The sequence below is a fragment of the Homo sapiens genome, chromosome 8 (genome assembly GCF_000001405.40).
Source record: "Homo sapiens chromosome 8, GRCh38.p14 Primary Assembly".
In the NCBI taxonomy this organism is placed as follows: domain Eukaryota; kingdom Metazoa; phylum Chordata; class Mammalia; order Primates; family Hominidae; genus Homo; species Homo sapiens.
This window is the reverse complement of record NC_000008.11, coordinates 42,236,326-42,259,651: the sequence shown is the minus strand read 5'-3', so window position 1 is coordinate 42,259,651 and position 23,326 is coordinate 42,236,326. Positions and strand designations below refer to the sequence as shown.

The 23,326-nt window shown below is 43.6% G+C and overlaps 1 long non-coding RNA gene across 4 annotated transcripts in view; it reads left to right on the top strand.

Annotated features, from left to right (window-relative positions):
• The window catches only part of IKBKB-DT (IKBKB divergent transcript), a 37,577-nt gene that overhangs the window by 11,599 nt on the left and 2,652 nt on the right, over window positions 1–23,326 (top strand). For 3 of the 4 annotated variants that reach the window (NR_125823.3, NR_185844.2, NR_185843.2), the window contains one exon: window positions 4,138–4,332. The exons of the other annotated variant lie outside the window; for it this stretch is intronic. This is a non-coding gene — a long non-coding RNA (IKBKB divergent transcript). Of the gene's footprint in view, window positions 1–4,137; window positions 4,333–23,326 lie in introns of those variants that run through there. 4 annotated transcript variants of the gene reach the window in all.

Genomic DNA, 23,326 nt, shown 5'->3' with positions numbered 1-23,326 from the left:
AGGCGGGAAGAACCTGTCAGGCAGTTATAAAAATAGGATAAAAGTATATAAATGAGCTTTTAACAATGATTATGGTTTATCACATGTCTACTAAAAATGGTTCCCCAAATCTCTTTGGTAACCTATAGTCAGGGTTTTGCTAAGTTAAGTTAAATTAAATGATAAATATTTACTGCATACCTAGATATTTTCCAAATATAATAAAACATGGAAGCATTAATTGCTGAATATAGGTCTGTCTACTCTTGGCTTCATAGTACAAGAGACTCCAGATGTTTGAGTGTGTTAGTAAACATATCCCATGCCACATTGAAAAACTGTGCTACAGGCTGGGCACAGTAGCTCATGCCTGTAATCCCAGCACTTTGGGAGGCCAAGGGGAGCAGATCACCTGAGGTCGGGAGTTTGAGACCAGCCTGACCAACCTGGAGAAACCCTGTCTCTACTAAAAATACAAAGTTAGTCAGACATGGTGGTGCATGCCTTTAATCCCAGCTACTCAGGAGGCTGAGGCAGGAGAATCGCTTGAACCCGAGAGGCAGAGGTTGCGGTGAACCGAGATAGCGCCATTGCATTCCAGCCTGGGCAAGGAGAGTGAAACTCCATCTCGGAAAAAAGAAAGAAAGAAAGAAAGAAAAACTGCTATGAAAAAATATATGTTTCGAAAAATTATAAAATGGTATATTCATAGACTTGCCTGTCTACAGAATGCTAGTGTGACAGTTCATGATTGCTTAATTTCTAGTGAAAACTAGAAATTTCTTAATGATTGCTTAATTTCTTAATGATTGCTTAGTTTCTAGTGAAAACCAGAAAGTGTAAAGAACAAAACTTGTATGCAAGGAAAATAGGATACGGGATTTCTGTAAGACAAGGTATGAAGCAGCTGGGCGCGGTGGCTCAAGTCTGTAATTCCAGCACTTTGGGAGGCCGAGGCGGGCGGATCACCAGGTCAGGAGATCTAGACCATCCTGGCTAACATGGTGAAACCCTGTCTCTATTAAAAATACAAAAAATTAGCCGGGCATGATGGTGGGCGCCTGTAGTCCCAGCTACTCGGGAGGCTGAGGCAGGAGAATGGCGTGAATCCAGGAGGCGGAGGTTGCAGTGAGCAGAGATCGCGCCACTGCACTCCATCCAGCCTGGGCGACAGAGTGAGACTCCGTCTCAAAAAAAAAAAAAAGAAAGAAAGACAAAAACTGAATGGAGCTAGGCATGGTGGCACATGCCTGTAGTCCCAGCTACTCAAGAGGCCAAGGCAAGAGTATTGCTTGAGCCCAGGAGTTCAAGACCAGCTGGGGCAACATAGCAAGACTGTCTCAAAACAAAAATAAAACAAAAAAAACCCTGAATAGATTTAGAAAGTTAGAGAGAGAGAATCTTGTGTGATTAAGTTGGCTAAAATTGAATCAATTTATTATAAGGATCTCAAAAATGAGCCTTAATATCAAAAGTACAATCTAAAACTAGAGTTTCATCTTCTTTCTTAAAATTACAAAGTTTTATTGGAGTATTGGACTTCTCTTGATAAAATACTGTGGAACGTTTTTCTTTACCGTCTATGTAATCTGTGTAGGAAATCTAGAATTTGCTGAGGTGGAAAAAAATCTGCGTCTTATCAGAATAATTTCCTGTGTTTCATGTTGTCTTTTTCAGGTGTTTGATTACTTAAGAAGACTCAGTCTTCTCTGTTAAAAGAGCTAAGCTAAAAAAAAAAAAAAGAAAACTGTATACCTTTCTGTAATTACCTCTGAAATCTTCCAGCGCTTTGGTTAAATGGATAACTGAGTAATGTTTTACAGTGATCTGTGATCCTGTTTAATCAAAAAATTTAGTCTTTTGACTTTTAAAAAAAAAATTGTCCTTTGAAAATTTTTTTTTAGAGATAAGGTCTCCTCCTATGCTGCCCAGGCTGATGTCGAACTCGTGGGCTCAAGTGATCCTCCTGCCTTGGCCTCCCAAAGTGCTGGGATTATAGGCATGAGCCACTGAGCCCAGCCGTCTTTTGGCATTTTTGACAACTTTGAAAAATCAAACTCTACATGAAGTGTTTTTGACCTTGAGCTAACTTTGGAATTTTCCTGAAGGCCCCTAAAAAGTCACAAAGGACTTGTCTTTCTTCTTTTTTATTTATTATTAATTTTTTTTTTTTGAGATGGAGTCTCGCTCTGTTGCCAGGCTGGAGTGCAGTGGCGCGATCTTGGCTCACTGTAACCTCCACCTCCGGGTTCAAGAGATTCTCCTGCCTCAGCCTCCCAAGTAGCTGGGACTACAGGCGCGTGCCACCACACCCAGCTAATTTTTGTATTTTTAGTAGAGATGGGGTTTCACCATGTTGGCCAAGATGGTCTCAATTGGTTGACCTCGTGATCCGCCTGCCTCGGCCTCCCAAAGTGCTGGGATTATAGGCATAAGCCACTGCACCCGGCCTTGTCTTTCTTCTTATAAAAACAAACTTGTTAAATTAATTTGGTACGTTAAATTACATGGGAAGCATTGTTAAAAAAGAAGTGATACTAAAGCTTCTTTATGTCATATTTGTATGTATTTATGTGTTCCAGAAATTGCATGAAGTTATAATGTTGTCAGTTATAATTCTAGTTATTATCTTAAAATGTATGTGACAGAAGTAACTGAATTTTTTTCTCAATTGTATTACAATTAATTCTCATCCTTTAACCATGACCATTTGAAGTCTTTTGTCATCCACAGACAGTTAATTGTTTTATTTTGATGCATTCCTAAAAGCTTTTGCAAACAACTATAATATGAACCACCATGCTTATGTGGTTTCTTTGCATGGCTGCTGTGCTGATGAGTAAGAAAAGTCATTTCCTGGTAGGCCCAGGAACCTCAAGAAAGTGCATTTGTATTTAAGGAGATTCATGGAGAAAACGGACAAGTACACGTTCCTGATGACTTTAAGATCATACCGTTCAACTTCCAGAACACTAATGGAAAAACTGACTCATTCATGAAATTGCTAACCAAAGATCAAGCAGAACAAGAATTAATTACATCAGACTAGATGACCCAATGAAGATGATTTAAATTATTTTTAATTATTATTATTTTTTTTGAGATGGAGTTTTGCTCTTGTTGCCCAGGTTGGAGTGCAATGGCACAATCTTGGCTCACTGCCACCTCTGCCTCTCGGGTTCAAGTGATTCTCCTGCCTCAGCCACTTGAGTAGCTTGGATTACAGGCGCATGCCACCACCCACAGCTATTTTTTTTTTTTTTTTGTATTTTTGGTAGAAACGGGGTTTCACTATGTTGGCCAGGCTGGTCTCAAACTTCTCACCTCAGGCTATCCACCTGCCTCAGCCTCCCAAACTGCTGGGATTACAGGCATGAGCCACCACGCCCGACTGATGATTATAATTCTTATGACTTCTTGTTTTAGGACATTTCTGGGTCTTTAATGGCTTTTCTCTTTTTTTCTTAAGCTAACTAAAATTTACAGCAATCAGGTAAATTATACCTTCGTAAACAGAATTGAAACATTTATCCTTTTTTCTCTACCTGATCCCTGTAGAATTCAGAAACTCTTACTGGCTATTCTTATTTTCATGACTACTCATGACTATATAGTTATTTTCTTTTTCTTTTTCTTTTTTTTTTTTGAGATGGAGTTTCACTCTTGTCGCCCAGGCTGGAGTGCAATGGTGCAATCTCGGCTCACTGCAACCTCCACCTCCCGGGTTCAAGCGATTCTCCTGCCTCAGCCTCCCAAATACCTGGGATTACAGGTGCCCGCCACCACTCCTGACTAATTTTTTTGTATTTTTAGTAGAGACGGGGTTTCACTCTGTTGGCCAGGCTGGTCTTGAACTCCTGACCTCGTGATCCACCCGCCTCGGCCTCCCAAAGTGCTGGGATTACAGGTGTGAGCCACCATGCTTGGCACTATATAGTTATTTTCATAAATTCAGTAAGAATCTAGTCTCCTTATAACAGGGACACAATTGAAAACCTTGATTATATTGCTAAGACGTTGACTGGAATATCAAATATGAAAATGAACATATAATCCGATATGATCAGACAGTTTTAAGGAACTAAGGTTGACTTTATGGAGCCAAAAAGCCAACCTCATACTTTGCTTATGTGGTTTCTTTATGTGGTTGCCTTACAGATGAGTAAGAAAGGTCACTTCCTGGCAGACCTCAGGTATATTGGGGACATCAAGAAAAGAATAATTCATCAAAGTCTACAGATATTGCAGGCAAAGTTGAAACAAGCCAGACAAGTTCTCTTTGTATTCTTGAGAGACTTGGAAAGTCTAACCTGAGATTCCTTATTAAAAGTTCCAGCAAAACAGACTTAAAAAGAGCCTATATGATTTTTTTTTAATTAAAAAGTAAACTTTAATGTCGAAAATGCGAACTTGGGGAAGACAGAAAAGATCACAAACAAGGCTGTCACGTCACACTTGGAAGGTTGTACAGTGGCCAGGCAGAGGCACTCCTCACTTCCCAGATGGGGCGACGGCTGGGCAGTGGCACTCCTCACTTCCCAGATGGGGTGGCCGGGCAGAGGTGCTCCTCACTTCCCAGACAGTGGGGCAGCTGGGCAGCGGCGCTCTTCACTTGCCAGACAGGGCGGCAGCTGGGCAGACGCGCTCCTCACATCCCAGATGGGGTGGTGGCCGGGCAGAGGCACTCCTCATTTGCCAGACAGTGGGCAGCTGGGCAGAGATGCTCCTCACTTCCCAGACAGGGCAGAAGCTGGGGAGAGGCGCTCCTCACTTCCCAGACAGTGGGCAGCCGGACAGAGGCACTCCTCACTTCCCAGACTGTGGGGCGGCCGGGCAGAGGGGCACCTCACTTCCCAGATGGGGTAGCCGGGCAGAGGCGCTCCTTACTTCCCAGACAGTTGGGCGGCTGGGCAGAGGCGCTCCTCACTTCCCAGACGGTGGGAAGCTGGGCAGTGGTGCTCCTGACATCCCAGATGGGGAGGCCAGGCAGAGGCCCTCATCACTTCCCAGACAGGCTGGCCGGGCAGAGGTGCTCCTCACTTCCCAGTCAGTTGGGCAGCCGGGGAGAGGTGCTTCTCACTTCCCAGACAGTGGGCAGCCGGGCAGAGGCGCTCCTCACTTCCCAGACAGTTGGCAGCCGGGCAGAGGGGCTCCTCACTTCCCAGATGGTTGGCAGCTGGGCAGAGGCACTCCTCACATCCCAGATGGTGGGCAGCTGGGCAGAGGTGATCCTCACTTCCCAGACGGGGCGGTGGCTGGGCAGAGGCGCTCCTCACTTCCCAGATGGGGCAGTGGCCAAGAGCCTATATGATTAATCACTACTCTTGTTGCACTTAATCAGGGCAAGTATAAAGAGACTAGACTTATTTTGCAAATTAGTCTTTACTGTGACTATCTTTGGTAGAAATGGAGGTGACAGAGAGAAATATTATGTTTTAGTAAAAAAAACTATTATGCACCTGTAAAAAGTAAAGTAGAGGTTCCTCTTCAAAGACTTTCCTCCCCGTCTGATTAGGAACAAATAGTAACTTCTCTTAGAAGCAAAATTTATTCAAAGACCTGTGCTAACATTCTTAAATATCTGCTAGCCGTAATAAAGAAATCAATGTACTTTATGTTAGCTCCCACAATTTAGCCTAAATATTTGCCCTGGCATGCTTATACTGGTCCAAGAAAGCATTAGGTCACAGCCTGTTCTTCTTCCTTATTTGAAGGTGTTTTTACCTTTCTCAGCATTCCACGTTACCTCCTCCTTCCTTTGTTCTCCTCTGCCTTTGCCTCTTTTAAAAAGTTCTGAGTTGCTAGAATACAGAATGTGAGGTCCTGTTGCAGCCAATGGAAACTGGGCACAGCAGTAGGGTGGATGCGTCGGGTTATAAATGACCCTGACTCCTTTGTTCGGTGTACTCTCATGGCAAAACTGCTGGCGAGTGTACCCTTTCTGCAGAAAGTATACAAATGGCCTTGCTGAGTAAATTAAATTTATGTTCAAGTGCTATTTCTTTACAGCACCAGGGAACAAGCATTTCAAACACACCTGTGACTAGATTCTAGTTCTGTTCATTGTCTTTGAAGTTTTGTTATTTACCTGCAAACTGGACTGGATCCCCAATTCTAGTTTCCTCCAATATCTGGTTATGACTCTCCAAACTAACATTCCAATTTTTTTCCAACCCTTCTGACTTGGAATCACTAAGAACAAACTGCTCTTTTCATGAAGCTGCAAAAGCTGAAGCTGCTTGACTTGATATTAACTTTAGAGTATCGATGAAGAGTCAGACTCTTTGATTGATGATCCAATCAAACATTTGATTGATGTCAAATGTATTCATCATCAATCAAATACATTTGAGAAATACATTGGTTTGGTCCAGAAAGACAAGACAACTCAAAGCAGGGGCTTTCAGGCTATAGGTAAATTGAAACATTTTCTGGTTGAAAATTGGTTGAATTTGTCTAAGACCTGCAATGATAGAAAGGAAATGTTCAGGTTAAGATAAAAGATTGTGGAGACCAAGGTTCTTTTGAAGTCTTATAGTGGCTGCCCTTAGAGACAATAGATGATAAATTTTCCTATTCAGATCTTTAAAAGGTGCTAGACTCTTCGTTAATCTCTTCAGGATTGGAAGGGCCTGGAAGAAAAAGATCTAGCTTTGTTAATAGAGATTCTTTACAGATACAAATTTTCCCCCACAAAGGACAGCTTTGCAGGGCCATTTCAAAATATGGCAAAGAAACATGTTTTGGGTTAAAATATTTTAACTTTCTTCTTTGTCATGTTATGCTAGAGTCAGATTGGAAAGTACGTCACAATACATAGGGTTAAATAAAACCCATCTGATGAGAATGTATGGTTTGTAGAGGAATGACCCCTTTGTACTTTTTAAGGTATGATGATTCATTTGGAATTTCCTTTTGTATGAGGAATGAGGAAGAGATTCAGCACTATTTCTTTTCCCCAGTGGGCTAGCTTATTATTCCAGACATTTATTTAAAAATCTATCTTGGCTGGGTGCAGTGGCTCACGCCTGTAATCCCAGCACATTGGGAGGCCAGCGCAGGAGGATTGCTTGAGCTCAGGAGTTCAAGACCAGCCTCATCAACCTAGTGAGACTTGGTCTTTACCAAAAATTTAAAAAATTAGCTGGGTGTGGTGGCACGCACCGGTAGTCCCAGCTATTAGTGAGGTGGTGTTGCTCATCTGGGGTAATACCTGAGGTTCATTGCCTCACACCAAGGAAATAGAGGATGCAGACACACGCAGGAGTGAGTTTAAGAGCAGAGGTTTAATAGGCAAAAGAAAGAGAATAGCTGTCTCTCCTACAGAGAGAGAGGGACTCCTGAGTGGGTCATCCGGTTCTGTGGTGGAATGCATGGGGTTTATAGAGGAGCTTGAGGAGGCAGTGTCTGATTTACATAGGGCACAAGACCTTGGTTGGACCAGGTGTGCCGTTTGCATAGTGCGAAGAAGCTGGCCATCCCACCCTAATCTTTTATTATGCAGATGGGGTCTCTACCTGGCCAGTGCCATGTCACCTGCTCTTTTACTGCATATGTGGGGACAAAGAAAAGGGAAGATGGAGCCTCCATGTTGAACATGCCTGGCCTCCAGGTAGCCTTTTCCTATTGGCGCAGCAGCCAGCATTCACTTATGCAAGCTTCCAGCTTGCTTATCTATGTCTGCAGCTTGATTTTACAGGCTCTCAGTCTGCCTTATGCCCCTTGGATGAATTCTTTCCTCTGAAGAGGCAAGAAATGAGGTTGCTGCAGACCTGTATGGATTTGTCACTGCTAACAATCTCTCCATTTGTTACTTTTCTTTTCTTTTCTTTTTTTTTTTTTTTGAGATGGAGTCTTGCTCTATTGCCTAGGCTGGAGTGCAGTGACACAATCTCAGCTCACGGCAACCTCTGCCCCAGGTTCAAGTGATTCTCCTGTCTCACCCTCCCTAGTAGCTGGGATTACAGGTGTCTGCCACCATGCCTGGCTAATTTTTGTATTTTTAGTAGATGTAGAAAGTAAAAAGTTTCCTCTTCAAAGTTTTCCTTCTTGTTAAAGAATAAATCATAAGTGTTAGGAAAAATAGTTTCTTTTAAAGACTAACTTTCTTCAAGCCTCCTTGCTTTGTGCTAATAACTCTTTGTTAAACCCTATCCTATGTAACTGTTGGACATGCTCACAGGCACGTTCCAGCTCACAGCCTATGCCCCTTCCTTATATGGACATGTTATTGCTTCCTTAAACCTTCCGTAAGCAACTTCTTTGTTCTTCCCTGCACTAACCTATTGAGGAAAGTTTTAGGCTATTAGCAAATCAGGTATCAGTTTAAGATTGTGAGGTCCTGCTCCAGCCAATGGATGCAGGATACAGCAGTAGAGACGACCCAAATGCTTAAGGGATAACTATGTCTGCTTTTCCTTTGTTCAAGTGTGCTCTCGCCATTGTTCCATCTGTGAGTGAGCACCCTTTCTGCAGAAAGTAAAGATGGCCTTGCTGAGAGATCTTTTGTCTCTGTGCTTTCTTTTGTTCGTGGCACCGATGATCTATTTCTAACACTTTTGGTATTTCTAGCAGTAGAGGTGGGGTTTCACCATGTTGGCCAGGCTGGTCTCGTTGGCCAGGCTGGTCTCGAGCTCCTGACCTCAAGTGATCTGCCCACCTTGGCCTCCCAAAGTGCTGGGCAAAGTGCTGGGATTACAGGTGTGAGCCACTGCGTGCAGCCCTCCATTTGTTTCTCTAGGAGCTATTTTAATTACTATAACTTCATAATATGTTTTTTTGTTTGTTTGTGAGACAGGGTCTCACTCTGTTGCCCAGGCTGGAGTACAGTGGTGTGATCATAGCTCACTGCAGCCTTGATCCTCCAGGTTCTAGCAATCCTTCTGCCTCAGCCTCCTGAGTAGCTGGAATTACAGACACACACCACTGAAACCACCTTTACAAAAAGTATATCAGTGGGAAAATGATGGCAGTGGGAAAGATCTGATCTTGCCAAGCCCCATCACCACCGTTCCCTGCCCCCACCTCCTCACCCCTCCCGGCCCTGTCTTTGGCCTTCTGGCTGCCCTTAATTATTCCTGGGCTTAGGCCAAGATAACTTTGGGAGACATTTAGTTTATAGTTTAAACGATAGTAGCCCTTCCCCAAACTCAGCTGCCTTTATAATCCTAATGAGGGAGCACCAGGCTAGGAGGATAGAAGATCCTGAATTCTGCTAGGGTGTAGATGTAAATGATTGGCAGCCATTATTCTGAAGGTCACAAAATATGCAACTTCCCCCAATTACCCCTGCAGATAACATCACTAACATAGAACCAATGATTGGCCTTTTGAGATGTCTTTTCAGGTTTTTTTGTATGTCTGATACCGATGGCTCCACCTGGATCCACCAACTACTCCCGTGGCCCCACCCAGAAGTGACTCAGTGCCCAGGAGGACTATTTCCCACACCCCTGTGATTGCATTACCAACCAACCAGCAGCAAGCAATCATTACCTAGTCACCCCAACCCCTTTCCCCAAACTACCTTTGAAAAACCCTAGCCCCCAAATGCCCTAGGAGACTTATTTGAGTAATAAAAACAAACAAACAAACAAACAAAAACCTCTAGTTTTTCATTCGGCCAGCTCTATGTGAATTAAACTCTTTCTCCACTGCAATTCCCCTGCCTTGATAAATTGGCTCTATCTGGGCAGTGGACAAGAATTCACTGGGCAGTTACACCACCACACCCAGCTGAATTTTTTTTTTTTATTTTTAGTGAAGACGAGGTTTCACTGTGTTGCTCAAGCTGGTCTCGAACTCCTGAGCTCAAGTGATCCTCCTACCTCCACCTCCCAAAGTGCCAGGATGACAGGTGTGAGCTACCGTGCCCATCCCATAATGTCTTAACATCTGGAGAATAATACATGTTTTCTTTAATCCTCAAAATAATTCAGTGAGTAAAATCCTTCTTCCATGATTGCAAATGAGGAAATGGAACAGCGGTGAAGCAACTTGTCCCTGGCCACAGGGATGTTAAGTGCAACCCTGAGATCTGCACTAGCCTCTGCATTTCTCTCCAGGGCCTTTTTGAATGCATGGCCTTCTAGTAGAGCTTTGTAGGTTCTCATGTCATCCTAAGACTCAGAAAGTCCATCAGGTTTCCCCTGGTAGAATCAAAAGTCTTGTAGTTTATTGGTCTTGTTAGTCTTAGTCCCAGTTAATAAAAAAACATATATATATATGTACACACACACACACACACACACACACATATATATACATGCATATATAAATTATAGGGATATTTTGTCTTTTTTTTTGAAACAGGGGCCTGCTCTGTCGCCCAGGCTGGAGTGCAGTGGCACAAACACAGCGGACTGCAGCCTTGACCTCCCAGGCTCATGCAACCCTCCCACCTCGGCCTCTCAAGAAACTGGGACCACAGGCACGTGCCATCATACCTGGCCAATTTTTCAGTTTTTTTGTAGAGATGGGGTCCCCTGTATTGCTCAGGCTGGTCTCAAACTCCTGGGCTCAAGTGATCCTCCTGTCTTGGTTTCCCAAAGTGCTGGGATTGCAGGTGTGAGCTACTGCACCCGGCCCAATAAAAAAATCTCGTTCTGTGAAAGAAATGTTTAATAAAAGTTGTATTGTCAAATTTTTATAAAGTGAATCCCTTTTCAAATGAACCAGTGTAAAAGAATGCTTGAAAGAACTTCCAGTGAAGCAGAGTCCTTTTGCAATAGTAAAATTTACACCTTTGTTTATCTGTTTTGTGATGCAAATTTGGAGGGGATATTTGTTTTTTTTTTTTTTTTTGGTAGAGCCTCTGTTGCCAGGCTGGAGTACAGGGGCACGATCTCAGCTCACTGTAACCTCCGCCTCCTGGGTTCAATTGATTTCTGCTTCAGCCTCCCAAATGGCTGGGACTACAGGTGCCTGTCACCACACCTGGCCACTTTTTGTATTTTCAGTAGAGACAGGGTTTCACCATGTTGGCCAGGCTGGCCTCGAACTCCTGACCTCATGATCCGCCTGCCTTGGCCTCCCAAAGTGCTGGGATTACAGACATGAGCCACTGCAGCCGGCTATTTGGGTCTCTTAAAAAAAGGCATACCCACCCAATTAAAGTCAAATTGCATTATGGAAAATGTTTGTGAAAATCAAAACTCTCTGTAAAAAGAGCAGTAACATTGGGCTCTAAGGTAAAGATCAATGCTTCCTGGAAAACATCTACCTTTCTACATCACCAGCAATTGATATGCACTGTACAGCTGCTTGGCAAAAATGGCCAGAACAACAAATGGTAGTATCAATACTCTAAGACAGGGGTCTCCAAACCAAGAGCCGAAGACAGGTCCCGGTCTGTGGCCTGTTAGGAATCAGGCTGTACACCAGGAGGTGAGTGGTGGGCAAGCGAGCATTACCACCTATATTAGTCCGTTTTCACACTGCTATAAAGTGTGAGATATACCTGAGATAGTAATTTGTAAATGAAGGAGGTTTAATTGATTCACAGTTCCACATAGCTGGGGAGGCCTCGGGAAACTTACTGGTGGAAGGAGAAGAAGACACTTTCTTTTTTTTTTTTTTTCCGAGACGGAGTCTTGCTCTGTCGCCCAGGCTGGAGTGTAGCGGTGAGATCTCAGCTCACTACAACCTCCGCCTCCCAGGTTCAAGCAATTCTTCTGCCTCAGCCTCCTGAGTAGCTGGGATTAGAGGCGCCCACTACTGTGCCCAGTTAATTTTTGTATTTTTAGTAGAGACAGGGTTTCACCATGTTGGCCAGGCTGGTCCTGAGCTCCTGACCTTGTGATCCACCCGCCTTAGCCTCCCAAAGTGCTGAGATTATAGGTGTGAGCCACTGCACCCAGCGCAGGCACTTTCTTCACAAGGCAGCAGGAAAGATAGAGAAAAGCCCAGAGGAAATTGTCACTTATAAAACAATCAGATCTCACGAGAACTCCCTCACTATCATGGGAACAGCATGAGGAAACTGCCCCCATGATCCAATCACCTCCCACCAGGTCTCTCCCTCAACACCTGAGGATTACAATTCAAGATGAGATTTGGGTGGGTACACAAAGCCTAACCATATCATTCTGCTCCGGCCCCTCCCAAATCTCATGGCCCTTTCACGTTTCAAAACCAATCATGTCTTCCCTCAGAGTCTTAATTCATTCCAGTATTAACCCAAAAGTTTCAGTCCAAAGTCTCATCTGAGATTAGGCAAGTCCCTTCTGCCTATGAGCCAGTAAAATCAAAAGCAAGTTAGTTACTTCCTAGATACAATGAGGTACAGGCATTGGGCAAATGCTCCCATTCCAAATAGGAGAAATTGGCCAAAACCAAGGGGCCACTGGTCCTATGCAAGTCCGAAATCCAGCAGGGCAGTCATTAAATCTTAAAGCTCCAAAATAATCTTCTTTGACTCCATGTCTCACATCCAAAACACGCTGATGCATGGCCTTGGGCAGCTCCACCCCTGTGGCTTTGCAGGGTACAGCCCACCCCCTCCGACTGCCAGCTGCTTTCACAAGCAGGCATTGAGTGTTTGTGGCGTTGTCTGTGGCTTTTACAGGCACACGATGCAAGCTGTCGGTGGATCTACCATTTTGGGGTCTGAAGGATGGTGGCCGTCTTCTCATAGCTTCACTAGGCTGCCTGAGCTCCGCTTCCTGTCAGATCAGTGGCGGCCTCAGATTCTCCTAGGAGCAGGAACCCTGTTGTGAACTATGCATGTGAGGGATCTAGGTTGTCTGCTCCCTATGATAATCTAACTAATGCCTGATGATCTGAGGTGGAACAATTTCATCCCAAAACCATTCCCCCTCACTCCCACCCCAACCCCAGGTCCGTGGAAAAATTGTCTCCCACGAAACCGGTCCCTGGTGCCGAAAAGTTTAGGGACTGCTGCTATAAGAAACCAGTCCCAACTTCCTTAGAAAACTTGAAATTGCCATGTAGGGATAGTCAAAGGGTAGAAAAGCTGCTTAAGAAGCTGTTTTCTCCTAACCCTTCTCTCTGAGATTCTGCAGTTTTATGCAACAAGATCAAGAAGGTATCCATTGCACATAGATGTTTACTGATATCGTAGAGCTAAGATTTAGTGAGCATCACTTGATGCCTGACTGTGCTAGGGGCCTGCTACATCTCACTGGATCCTGACATATAAGTTTTATTACACATATCTTTCCCATTTTGATATTTTTAAAGTGCAAAACAATGTATTTTGGGGAGAAGGGAACCAGAGCAATAGAGAAACATATTATAGAAAGTGAAACTCTGACAAAGTCACTCACAGAGATAAACTTTTCTGCAATTTTTTTTTACTTAGTACTATATCTTGAAACTATATCTGGGCTGGGCACTGTGGCTTACACCTGTAATTCCAACATTTTGGGAGGCCAAGTGGGGTGGATCGCTTGAGCTCAGGAGTTTGAGACCACCCTGGACAACATAGTGAGACCCTGACTCTACAAAAATTAGCCCGGCATGGTGGCATGCCCCTGCAGTCCCAGCTGCTCAGGAGGTTGAGGCGGGAGGATTGCCTGAGCCTGGGAGGTTGACGCTGCAGTGAGCTGTGACTGTGCCACTGCGCTCTAGCCTGGGTGACAGAGCAAGATCCTGTCTCGAAACAAAAAACAAAACAAGCATAAAAGAAAATATCTCTGCATCAGATCTTATTCTTTTTAACAGCAGGATCATATTCCATTGGATTGATGTATCACTTCTTAATTAACCACTTCCCTGTTTATGATTGTTTCCAATTTTGGCTACTGTAAAATGCTGCAATAAACATCCTTTTACGTGTATCTGCAGTAAACATCCTTTTATATGTCAAGAGTTTCAGAGAAGTTCCTGGAGGTGAAATGGCTGCTTCAGAAAGTAAGCAGATATAAATATTGTAATAGTTCTTGCCCAACTGCTTTCCAAAATGTTTATCTTTTCAGTACATTTTCCGGGTAAGGGCTCTCAGGTCTTGTAAACTAAGGGCTGTCTTTCCTTTCTGAGCTTTAGAGTACTTGATTCTATAATGATTACAGAACGATGAAACAATGAGCCCCTCGAGACAGGATTTCACTCTTCCTTTATCTTGCTGTCAAATGCATGCCAAGTGTGTTCAGACAGAACCTGCGTTACTCTGCCTGGCTGTGTGATTCTCCACCGCTCAAAGGCTTCTCCAACACATTTCTGTGTGGCTCCCTGGGAGCTGCTGGCAGATGGCCTGGGGCCTGTCAATCAGCCTTTGTGAACACAATCAGTTTGCAGAACTGAGGGACTGAGGCGTCCTGACCCATTTTCTGCTTCCATCACACCAGAAGTTGTAAACTCATGGTGTCATTGGAGACATGGGGGTGAGGTATTCCCAACACGTAAAGAATCATCAAACTAGAATTTCTTTTATTATTATTATTTTTTAAATTTTATTTTTGAGATGGAGTCTTGCTCTGTCGCCAGGTTGGAGTGCAGTGGTGCGATCTCAGCTAACTGCAACCTCCACCTCCTGGGTTCAAGCGATTCCCCTGCCTCAGCCTCCTGAGTAGCTGGGACTGCAGGCACGTGCCACCACGCCTGGCTAATTTTTTTTTTTTTGTATTTTAGTAGAGACGGGGTTTCACCATGTTGACCAGGATGGTCTCAATCTCCTGACCTCGTGATCCTCCTGCCTTGGCCTCCCAAAGTGCTGGGATTACAGGTGTAAACCACCACGCCCGGCCCAAACTAGAATTTCTAAAGAAAGGGCCCAAAAGCCCTTGGAAAGTAAATCATTTGGCAACTACATGCTCTCAGACTAGTCTCTCAAATGCCACAGAAGAGCTTTTTCCATAGGTTATAAACTAGAGCACAGAGCTAGCACTGAAGTGCAGTTCAGCCTGGTAGGGCATAGGAAATAGCACTTTTGTGTGTGGTCAGTTTGGACATTGGGTCTTTCCAAACCCTGACCCAATTATAGGCGGCAGCCCAATGTAGCTAATCCATTTATAACTAACAATTTCACATATAAAATGAAACTCTAATTGGGAGGCTGAATCAGAAGGATCACTTAGGCCCAGGAGGTCAAGGCTGCAGTGAGCACCACTGCACTCCAGCCTTGGTGATAGAGCAAGATCCCATCTCTAAAAATTAAAAAAAAATTCAATTGCTTTTTCAAATTATTATTAATCAGCACAGGAATACCTTAAGGAAGATTAAAAGAAGTAAAAGGAATGTGGCATACTTAAATCAGGTCTGTTTACCCAAAATATAACCAATAGCTCCGTATGTGTCTGTCTGTTAACCATCTCCACCAATGACACAGTGCTGGAACTGCCCGGGAAGCCCCCTCCCTTATTTTCTAAAGGGGAAACGGAATGGGCTCTGTTCCAAGATCTTCTTCTCCCAAATAGGATAACTGACTACCCTGTGTCAAGTAAGACTGGAAGACTCTGAAGATTTAAAAATAATTAATCCATTCAAATAAAATTACCTGATCCATGTGACAAACACATGGGCCTGGGTTTCCTCATTTTGGGTGGATGACCTCAAAGCATGGCAAAACTTCCAAATAAAATAAGGAATACATTTTGTGAAACATTTTCATAAATATAATTGAGGGAACCAAAGCTTAGTTTCCAGAAACAGTTATCCCAAGGATAATAGGAACTTGTTTTGCAGTTTGTATAGACAATCGGGCATACAGGCTTGGAGTTAGATTAGAATTCCCTAATGGGGCAGCAGTAGATTAATCCACATCTGCTTAGGTGATCCTACATCATCTGAGTTCAGCCAGTTTCTACCTATATTCTAATTTTTCCAGTATGAACAAAATTCTAGACCATGTGCAATTGCAAAACCTCAAATATTGTGCGACCCAATAAATGAACTTATCCAAATACATAGACTCTTAAAATGATTAACCCAGAATCCAGAACTGTTTATCCTTATTTTAATGTTCTGAACAACATGACCTTACTCACTACCGGTTACAAACTGGGTTCCTGTGAGTACTGTCCGTCTAAATTAAACTCAATTCTACCATCTGACCAAACTTCAAACCGAAGTGGCTTTATGGAGTGCTATAAGCAGTAGCACCAAAAATTTCACGTGAAGTTACACTAGTTATTCTTCTACTGTCCATGATGTCAATTAATAGTTGAGATTATGATTAATCCTAACCAAAACTCAGGGAAGTGGTGGGACATAAAACCTCCAGAGATGTTCTGGGGTTCTGAGAACACAGATCTGTAACCAAGTACCCCAATTTTTCTAAGAAATAGTTTAATTATTTTTTTCTCTTTCTTCTTTTTCCTCCTTTTCCCCACTTCTTACTTTAGCTCTTTAGAAATGCAATAATAGTCTATTACCTCCTCTTCATCAGATATTTCTTACAAATTCATCTAACTCTGTGCTTAGATGCTCCAGAGCAGAACGCTCACCCACCAGGAGGCTGCATGGAGAGATAACAGTCAATTTACAATCCAAAGTCCCACTACAAAACTCTCTCCCCACCTGGAGAGTTTTAGGCCACTTTTACAACCCATTTCTGCCATGAAAATGCCAGTCCAACCGCCCAGTAGGTAAGACACTAAGCTGGCACGAGGACCACCCCCAACCTGCTCACCTCCTCCCCTGCCTTTTAAAAGTGCCCACTTTCTACTCCGAGAGCAAAGCCGTACCCTTAAGCCAGGAAGCCTATGCTTCTTCCCCTAAGCTGGCTTTGGAATAAAAGCCACTTTATACCAGAACTCGCGCTTGTGAATTGGATTCTGCAAGTAGCAACTGACAGACCCTGCATTTTGGTTATGATCTGGGCCTTCGTTGAGTGGCCTGCTCATTACTACAAAGTCCGGTCCTGCAGCCATCATGTGGAAATCGCACTGGGTATGGCCAGAGCCAGTGTCCCTCAGCTCCCTGTAGAGCATCAGAAGGGACTGGGGGAGGCTCAGAGCACCAGCAGTGACTTCTCAGCATGCATGAGGGGACACTTGGCAGAGGTGGCCCTGGCTATACAAGCCAGAGGCCGGGGAAGGACTGTAGGCATCAGCCGCAGATGCTGCAGCAAGTGAGGTCAATGACTAGCGACCAGGCCAAATGGAGGACGTTGCTGTACAGGGTGGCAGAAGATAGCATGGACCAGTACACTCCCCACTCTCTACAGAACTCAGCTACAATTAATATACCAACCACATATATAGAATTCTCATTATACCTTAATTATGGGTTATAGAGACCCTACTTCCTTGATACATCCACTTGACAACATCCACCTTAATATCTCTAATTTCCTTATTATTTTTAGTGTAAAATACTGCTATAAGGTGAGCTCTGCTAATAACAGCATCTAAACCCCACGATATTAGTTCTATTCAAAATCCATTTTTCAATGCTAGGAATCTTTATCCCAACCACAGGGATGATGCTATAATCTGCTTACTGTATTTATTTATTTACTTATGTCTATTTTTAAATATTTATTTATTTATTTATTTTTGAGATGGAGTCTTGCTTTGTCACCCAGGCTGGAGTGCAGTGGTGCAATCTCAGCTCACTGCAACCTCTGCCTTCTGGGTTCAAGCAATTCTCCTGCCTCAGCCTCCTGAGTAGCTGAGATTACAGGCGCGCACCAACATGCCCAGATAAATTTTGTATTTTTAGTAGAGATGGGGTTTCACCATGTTGGCCAGGCCAGCTTCAAACTCCTGACCTCAAGGTGATCCGCCCGCTTCGGCCTCCCAAACTGTTGGGATTACAGGTGTGAGCCACCACGCCAGGCCATCTGCTTACTTTAAATGGGTACCCTTTTTCATATTAACTGACCTCTCTCCTCTAATATTAGTTCGACCATCTAACTGAAGCTTGAGTTCCATACTAACCAGTTCTACCCATTCTCTTTGTGTTCTCCTGCCAGCATTAACATGACTTTTACCACTGCTACTTATAAGCAGGTGGGCTGATATGTCCCTATCAATTCCACTCTATTCTACCACAAAGGGTTGAAGCTTTCTATTTTTTCATTTGTTTCCAGTAGGTTTCTAGTTGCTCATTGAAGCATTTTTAGGATGACTGCTTTAAAATCTTTGTCAGATAGTTCTAACATCTCAGCGTTGGCCTCTGTTGATTGTCTTTTTCATTCAGTGTGAGATCTTCCTGGTTCTTGCTGTGATTAGTATTTTTTTAGTGGAAAATTCCTTGTTTATTAAGAATGTCACATTTTGAAACTAGAAGCAGTAAAGTGTACGAAAAGTTTAAAATATAAATTTCAGAAAACTCTTATAGCAGCAAAAAAGCAGAATAAAGAAAAACTTAAAGACACAGACAATAACCTTTTCCTATTACTGTGCCATAATTAACATCAAGTAGCCAACCAGTTTTTCCCCAGAAAATGGTATTACATTCTCTGCCTCCTGGGCCACAGATTTTCAACTGGCCCTTCCTAGGCAAAAAAAAAAAAAAAAAAAAAAAAAAAAAAAAAAAAAAAAAAGATTCCAACATATCTAAAGGCATCAACTGTTGGGAATAAACCAGTAGCTTCTTAATTTAACCTTGACAAACAATGGAAACAAAGATTAAAAGCAACTGATTTTTTCTTTTAACATTTGACTATAATGGCAAAAATGATACAGAACATGTAATATCTGTTTTCCTAGCACAGCCAGACAGAAAAGAAGGTTGAATTGGAACAAGAAAAAATTCATTTTGTCGGTGTCCTAAATGTACCACATTTTTTTTTTGAGACGGAGTCTTGCTATGTTGCCCAGGCTGGAGTGCAATGGCGCAATCTCAGCTCACAGCAACCTCTGCTTCCAGGGCTCAAGCGATTCTTCTGCCTCAGCCTCCCAGGTAGCTGGGAGTAAAGGTGTGTGCCACCATGCCTGGCTAATGTTTGTATTTTTAGTAGAGATTGGGTTTCACCATATTGGCCAGGCTGACCTCGAACTCCTGACCTTGTGATCCACCCACCTCGGCCTCTCAAAGTGCTGGGATTACAGGCATGAGCCACAGTGTCTGGCCCACATTCTGTTTTCAAGGTGTGTGGCAATATAGATTACTTGCTCTTTTTTTTTTTTTTTTTTTTTTTTTTGAGACTGAGTCTTGCTCTGTCGCTCAGGCTGGAGTGCAGTGGAATGATCTTGGCTCACTGCAAACTCTACCTCCCGGGTTCACACCATTCTCCTGCCTCAGCCTCCCAAATAGCTGGGACTACAGGCGTCCACCACCATGCCCGGCTAATGTTTTTGGATTTTTAGTAGAGACAGGGTTTCACTGTGTTAGCCAGGATGGTCTCGATCTCCTGACCTCGTGATCTGCCCGCCTCGGCCTCCCAAAGTGCTGGGATTGCAGGTGTGAGCCACTGTGCCTGGCCCCAATTACTTGCTGTTTCTAAATAAACTTAAGAGACAGGCTTAGAATTAACACTTCTAATAAAGTTGTAACTAACAGGGGAACAAAAAAACCAAAGTGATTCCTCAAAAAAAAAAAAAACAGCATTTGGCTAACAAATTGCCATCTGGTGTCACATGCTTGATTATGAAAGCATCTTGTGCAACCATCTTTAATTTTTCAAATTTTCTTATGTCTAGAGGCTGTATCATAGTTTATGTACAGAACAAGCAAATTTAAGTATTCTGTTAACGTGCAAATGACTTGGGAATGTAAAAATCAGTTTGTTATAAAGGAAAACAGAAATTCAAAAAGATTTTTCCTGGAAGACATATCATCATTCAGTTTACAATCTTGTATTTATAGTTTTAAAAAATTGCCTTTTACGGCCAGGCACGGTGGCTCATGCCTATAATCCCAACACTTTGGGAGGCTGAGCCAGGTGGATCACCTAAGGTCAGGAGTTCGAGACCAGCCTGGCCAACATGGCAAAACCTCCTTTCTACTACAAATACAAAAATTAGCTGTGGGTGGTGCCTGTACTCCCAGCTATTTGGGAGGCTGAGGCAGGAGAATCACTTGAACCTGTGAGGCAGAGGTTACAGTGAGCCAAGATCGTGCCATTGCACTCTAGCCTCGGCAAGAAGAGCAAAACTCCATCTCAAAAAAAAAAAATGAATAAATAAATAAATATATATATATATATATATAAATTGCCTTTTACAAAAATTGGTTGGCTCATTTGAAACCATTCAAAAGAAAGTATTTGTTTTGGAGAAACAAATACACTGTTGTTGGGCCTCAAATTGGTAATTTGTCAATTTTGGATGCTAATTCTAAATACAATATAAAGGAGGTCCAATTTAAAAACACTTTAAATTAGGCTGAGCTGGTGGGGAGAGATACCCACCGGAGGGGATGGGGGCCAAGCAGGTCGGGCCAGGCCACCTGAGGAATGGCAGACGCAGTGGCCCAGAGGGCGGCTAAAGGGAGCGAGAAGGAGATGGGAAGCGGGATGAGGGCCATGCTGTTGGGCTTCGAGGATGGTCACCCCAGGCTCACAGGAGAGGCCCCGTAGCTGTGGCTGCTGACATAAAGCCTCCAGCCAAAGGAACTGTGATGAGTGTTTTTTGATTGATCCATGGACTTTTGGGGCATTAGACTATGAGTCTCTGGATCTTACTTAAAGCATGTGTTTTAGCTTGCTTCCTCTGATACCACTCTGACAGGGGAGGAGGAGCTACCTCATCACAGCCAGATGGGGGTACAGGTCCAGGTGTAATCACCAGATGGATTCTTCTTGTGTGCTGCACAGAAAAAACCAATTCACAGAGACAGCAGTGTTGCAGTAGAGAAAGAGTTTAATTAATTCAAAGCTCGCCAAGCAAAAGGATGGGAGTTTATTACTCAAATAAGTCTCCTGAAGAATTCAGAGGCTAGGGATTTTATGGATAATTTAGCAAGCAGGGGCTAGGGAATGGGTGCTGATGATTGGTAGGGGATGAAATCACAGGGGTGTGAAAAAGAGCCCTCGTGCTAAGTAAGTCTCTGGATGGTGGCCACAGGACTGGGTGAGTCATGACCCTTGGGTCCAGGTGGAGTCAGTTGGTCCCAGAATTAAAAAGCCTGAAAAACATCACAAAACACCAATCTTAGGTTCTACAACAAGGATGTTATCTATAGAAGTGATTGGGGAAGTCACAAATCTCAACGACCTCTGGCTCCGTGACTCCTAACCAGTAAAGGATTATAGGAAAGCCACCTAAGGAACCATGGCTGGTTATCATTTAACTACACCTGCATCTTAGCAAAATTTGGGCCCCTCCCATCATCCTCATCTTGTGGACTTTCATTAGTCTTTCAAAGGCTCTTTCAGTCCCTGAACAAGGAGGGGGTCAGTTTTATGGAGGGGCTATTATCATCCTTGCTTCAAAGTTAAAGTGTAAACTAAATTCCTCCTGTGGCTAGCTTGGCTTACACTCAGGAATGAGTGAGGACAGTCAGCCTGTAAGGCTAGAAGCAAGATGGACCCAGCCAGGCTAGACTTCTCTCACTCTCGTAATTTTTGCAAAGATGATTTCACACGCTCCCCACTCAGCCAATGTTGGTTCTCAAGGGTAGGGACTCATTACTGCTAGGCAGGGACAATGGTTTCCACTAACATTTCTCTGGCTGGCAGGGATCGGAATTCCTAGTTACTGCTCCCCATTTGTTCTTTACTGATACTGAGTTGTGGGGTAGCCTTGTTACCCCTGGTCTTGGTGAAAGTCCTTTTTTTTTTTTTTTTTTTTTTTTTTTTTTGAGAGAGGGCCTTGCTCTGTTGCCCAGGCTGGAGTGCAGTGGTACCATCTCAGCTAACTGCAACCTTGACCTCCTGGGCTCAAGTGGTCCTCCCACCTCAGCCTCTGGAGTAGCTGGGACTATAGGCATGCACTACCACACCCAGCTAATTTTGTTGATTTTTTGTGGAGAGGGGGTCTTACTCTGTTGCCCAAGATGATGTTGAACTTCTGGATTCAAGCAATCCTCCTGTCTTGGCCTCCCAAAGTGCTGGGTTACAGGTGTGAGCTACTGCACCTGGCCAGTCCTTATTCTTCACCAGGCTCTTCTGCAACCCCCAGAAGAGAGGAGCAGATCCCCCTCATTGTAGCCTGGGGAGGGAGAGAGTCCCCCACTTGGCCTTTACTGGTAGGGGTGGGTGTCAGTCCAGAATTTTTTCTTCGACGTTTGGCAAGGTATAAACTAAAAATAAGATCCTAAGGCCCACATCAACTGAAAGGGCCCCCCTCTTGACCAAGGGAACCCTAGAAACACCTTAAAAACTGAATTCCCAGGCATTACGGGAAAGGAGGTCAGATATGCCCCATTATACCCCTCCCTTTCAGAGTTTAGATGCAACAACTGATAAGTATTAATGTTAAAATAGAGATCATAAGACTAGGCCGGGCATGGTGGTCATGCCTGGAATCCCAGCACTTTGGGAGGCCAAGGCAGGAGGATCACCTGAGATCAGGAGTTCAAGACCAGTCTGGCTAACATGATGAAACCCAGTCTCTACTAAAAATACAAAAATTAGCTGGGCATGGTGATGGGCACCTGTAATCCCAGCTACTCGGGAGGCTAAGGCAGGAGGATCGCTTGAACCCGGGAGGCGGAGATTGCAGCAAGCCGAGATTGTACCACTCCACTCCAGCCTGGGCAACAGTGAGACTCCATCTCAAAAACAAACAAACAAAAAAAAAAAACTGAGCCTTCTCTCGTAAAAGAGATAAGATTTGGGGTGTTTTTTAAAAAAACAACTACATTGGCCGGGTGTGGTGGTTCATGCCTATAATCTCAGCACTTTAGGAGGCCGAGGTGGAAGGATTACTTGAACTCAAGAGCTCAAGACCGGCCTGGGCAACATGGTGAGACCTTGTCTCTAATTTAAAAAATATTTTAAATTAAAATTTTGAAATATTTTTAAAAGGCTATGTTAGTTTTTGTATTTGCTCTTGAAATTTTTTTCACTTTGGTTATATGGATAACTAAGTATTGTTTCACAGTGACCTATGATTTCTTTGTGTGTGTGATGGAGTTTCACTCTTTTTGCCCAGGCTGGAGTGCAATGGCACAATCTTAGCTCACCGCAACCTCTGCCTTCTGGGTGCAAGCAATTCTCCTGTCTCAGCCTCCCAAGTAGCTGGGATTACAGGCATGCGTCACCACGCCCGGCTAATTTTTAGTAGAGACGAGGTTTCTCCATGTTGGTCAGGCTGGTCTCAAACTCCAACCTCAGGTGATCCACCCGCCTCGGCCTTCCAAAGTGCAAGGATTACAGACATGAGACACTGCGCCCAGCCCCTGTGATTTATTTTAATCAAGAGTTTTAAATGTTTTGACAGTTTCGACAACTTTCCCAAATCAAAATCTAAATGAAGTCTTTTTGACCTAGACCTCACTTTGAGATTTTACAGAGAGATATTAAACTAATTAGGCTTATTTGATATGTTAAATTACA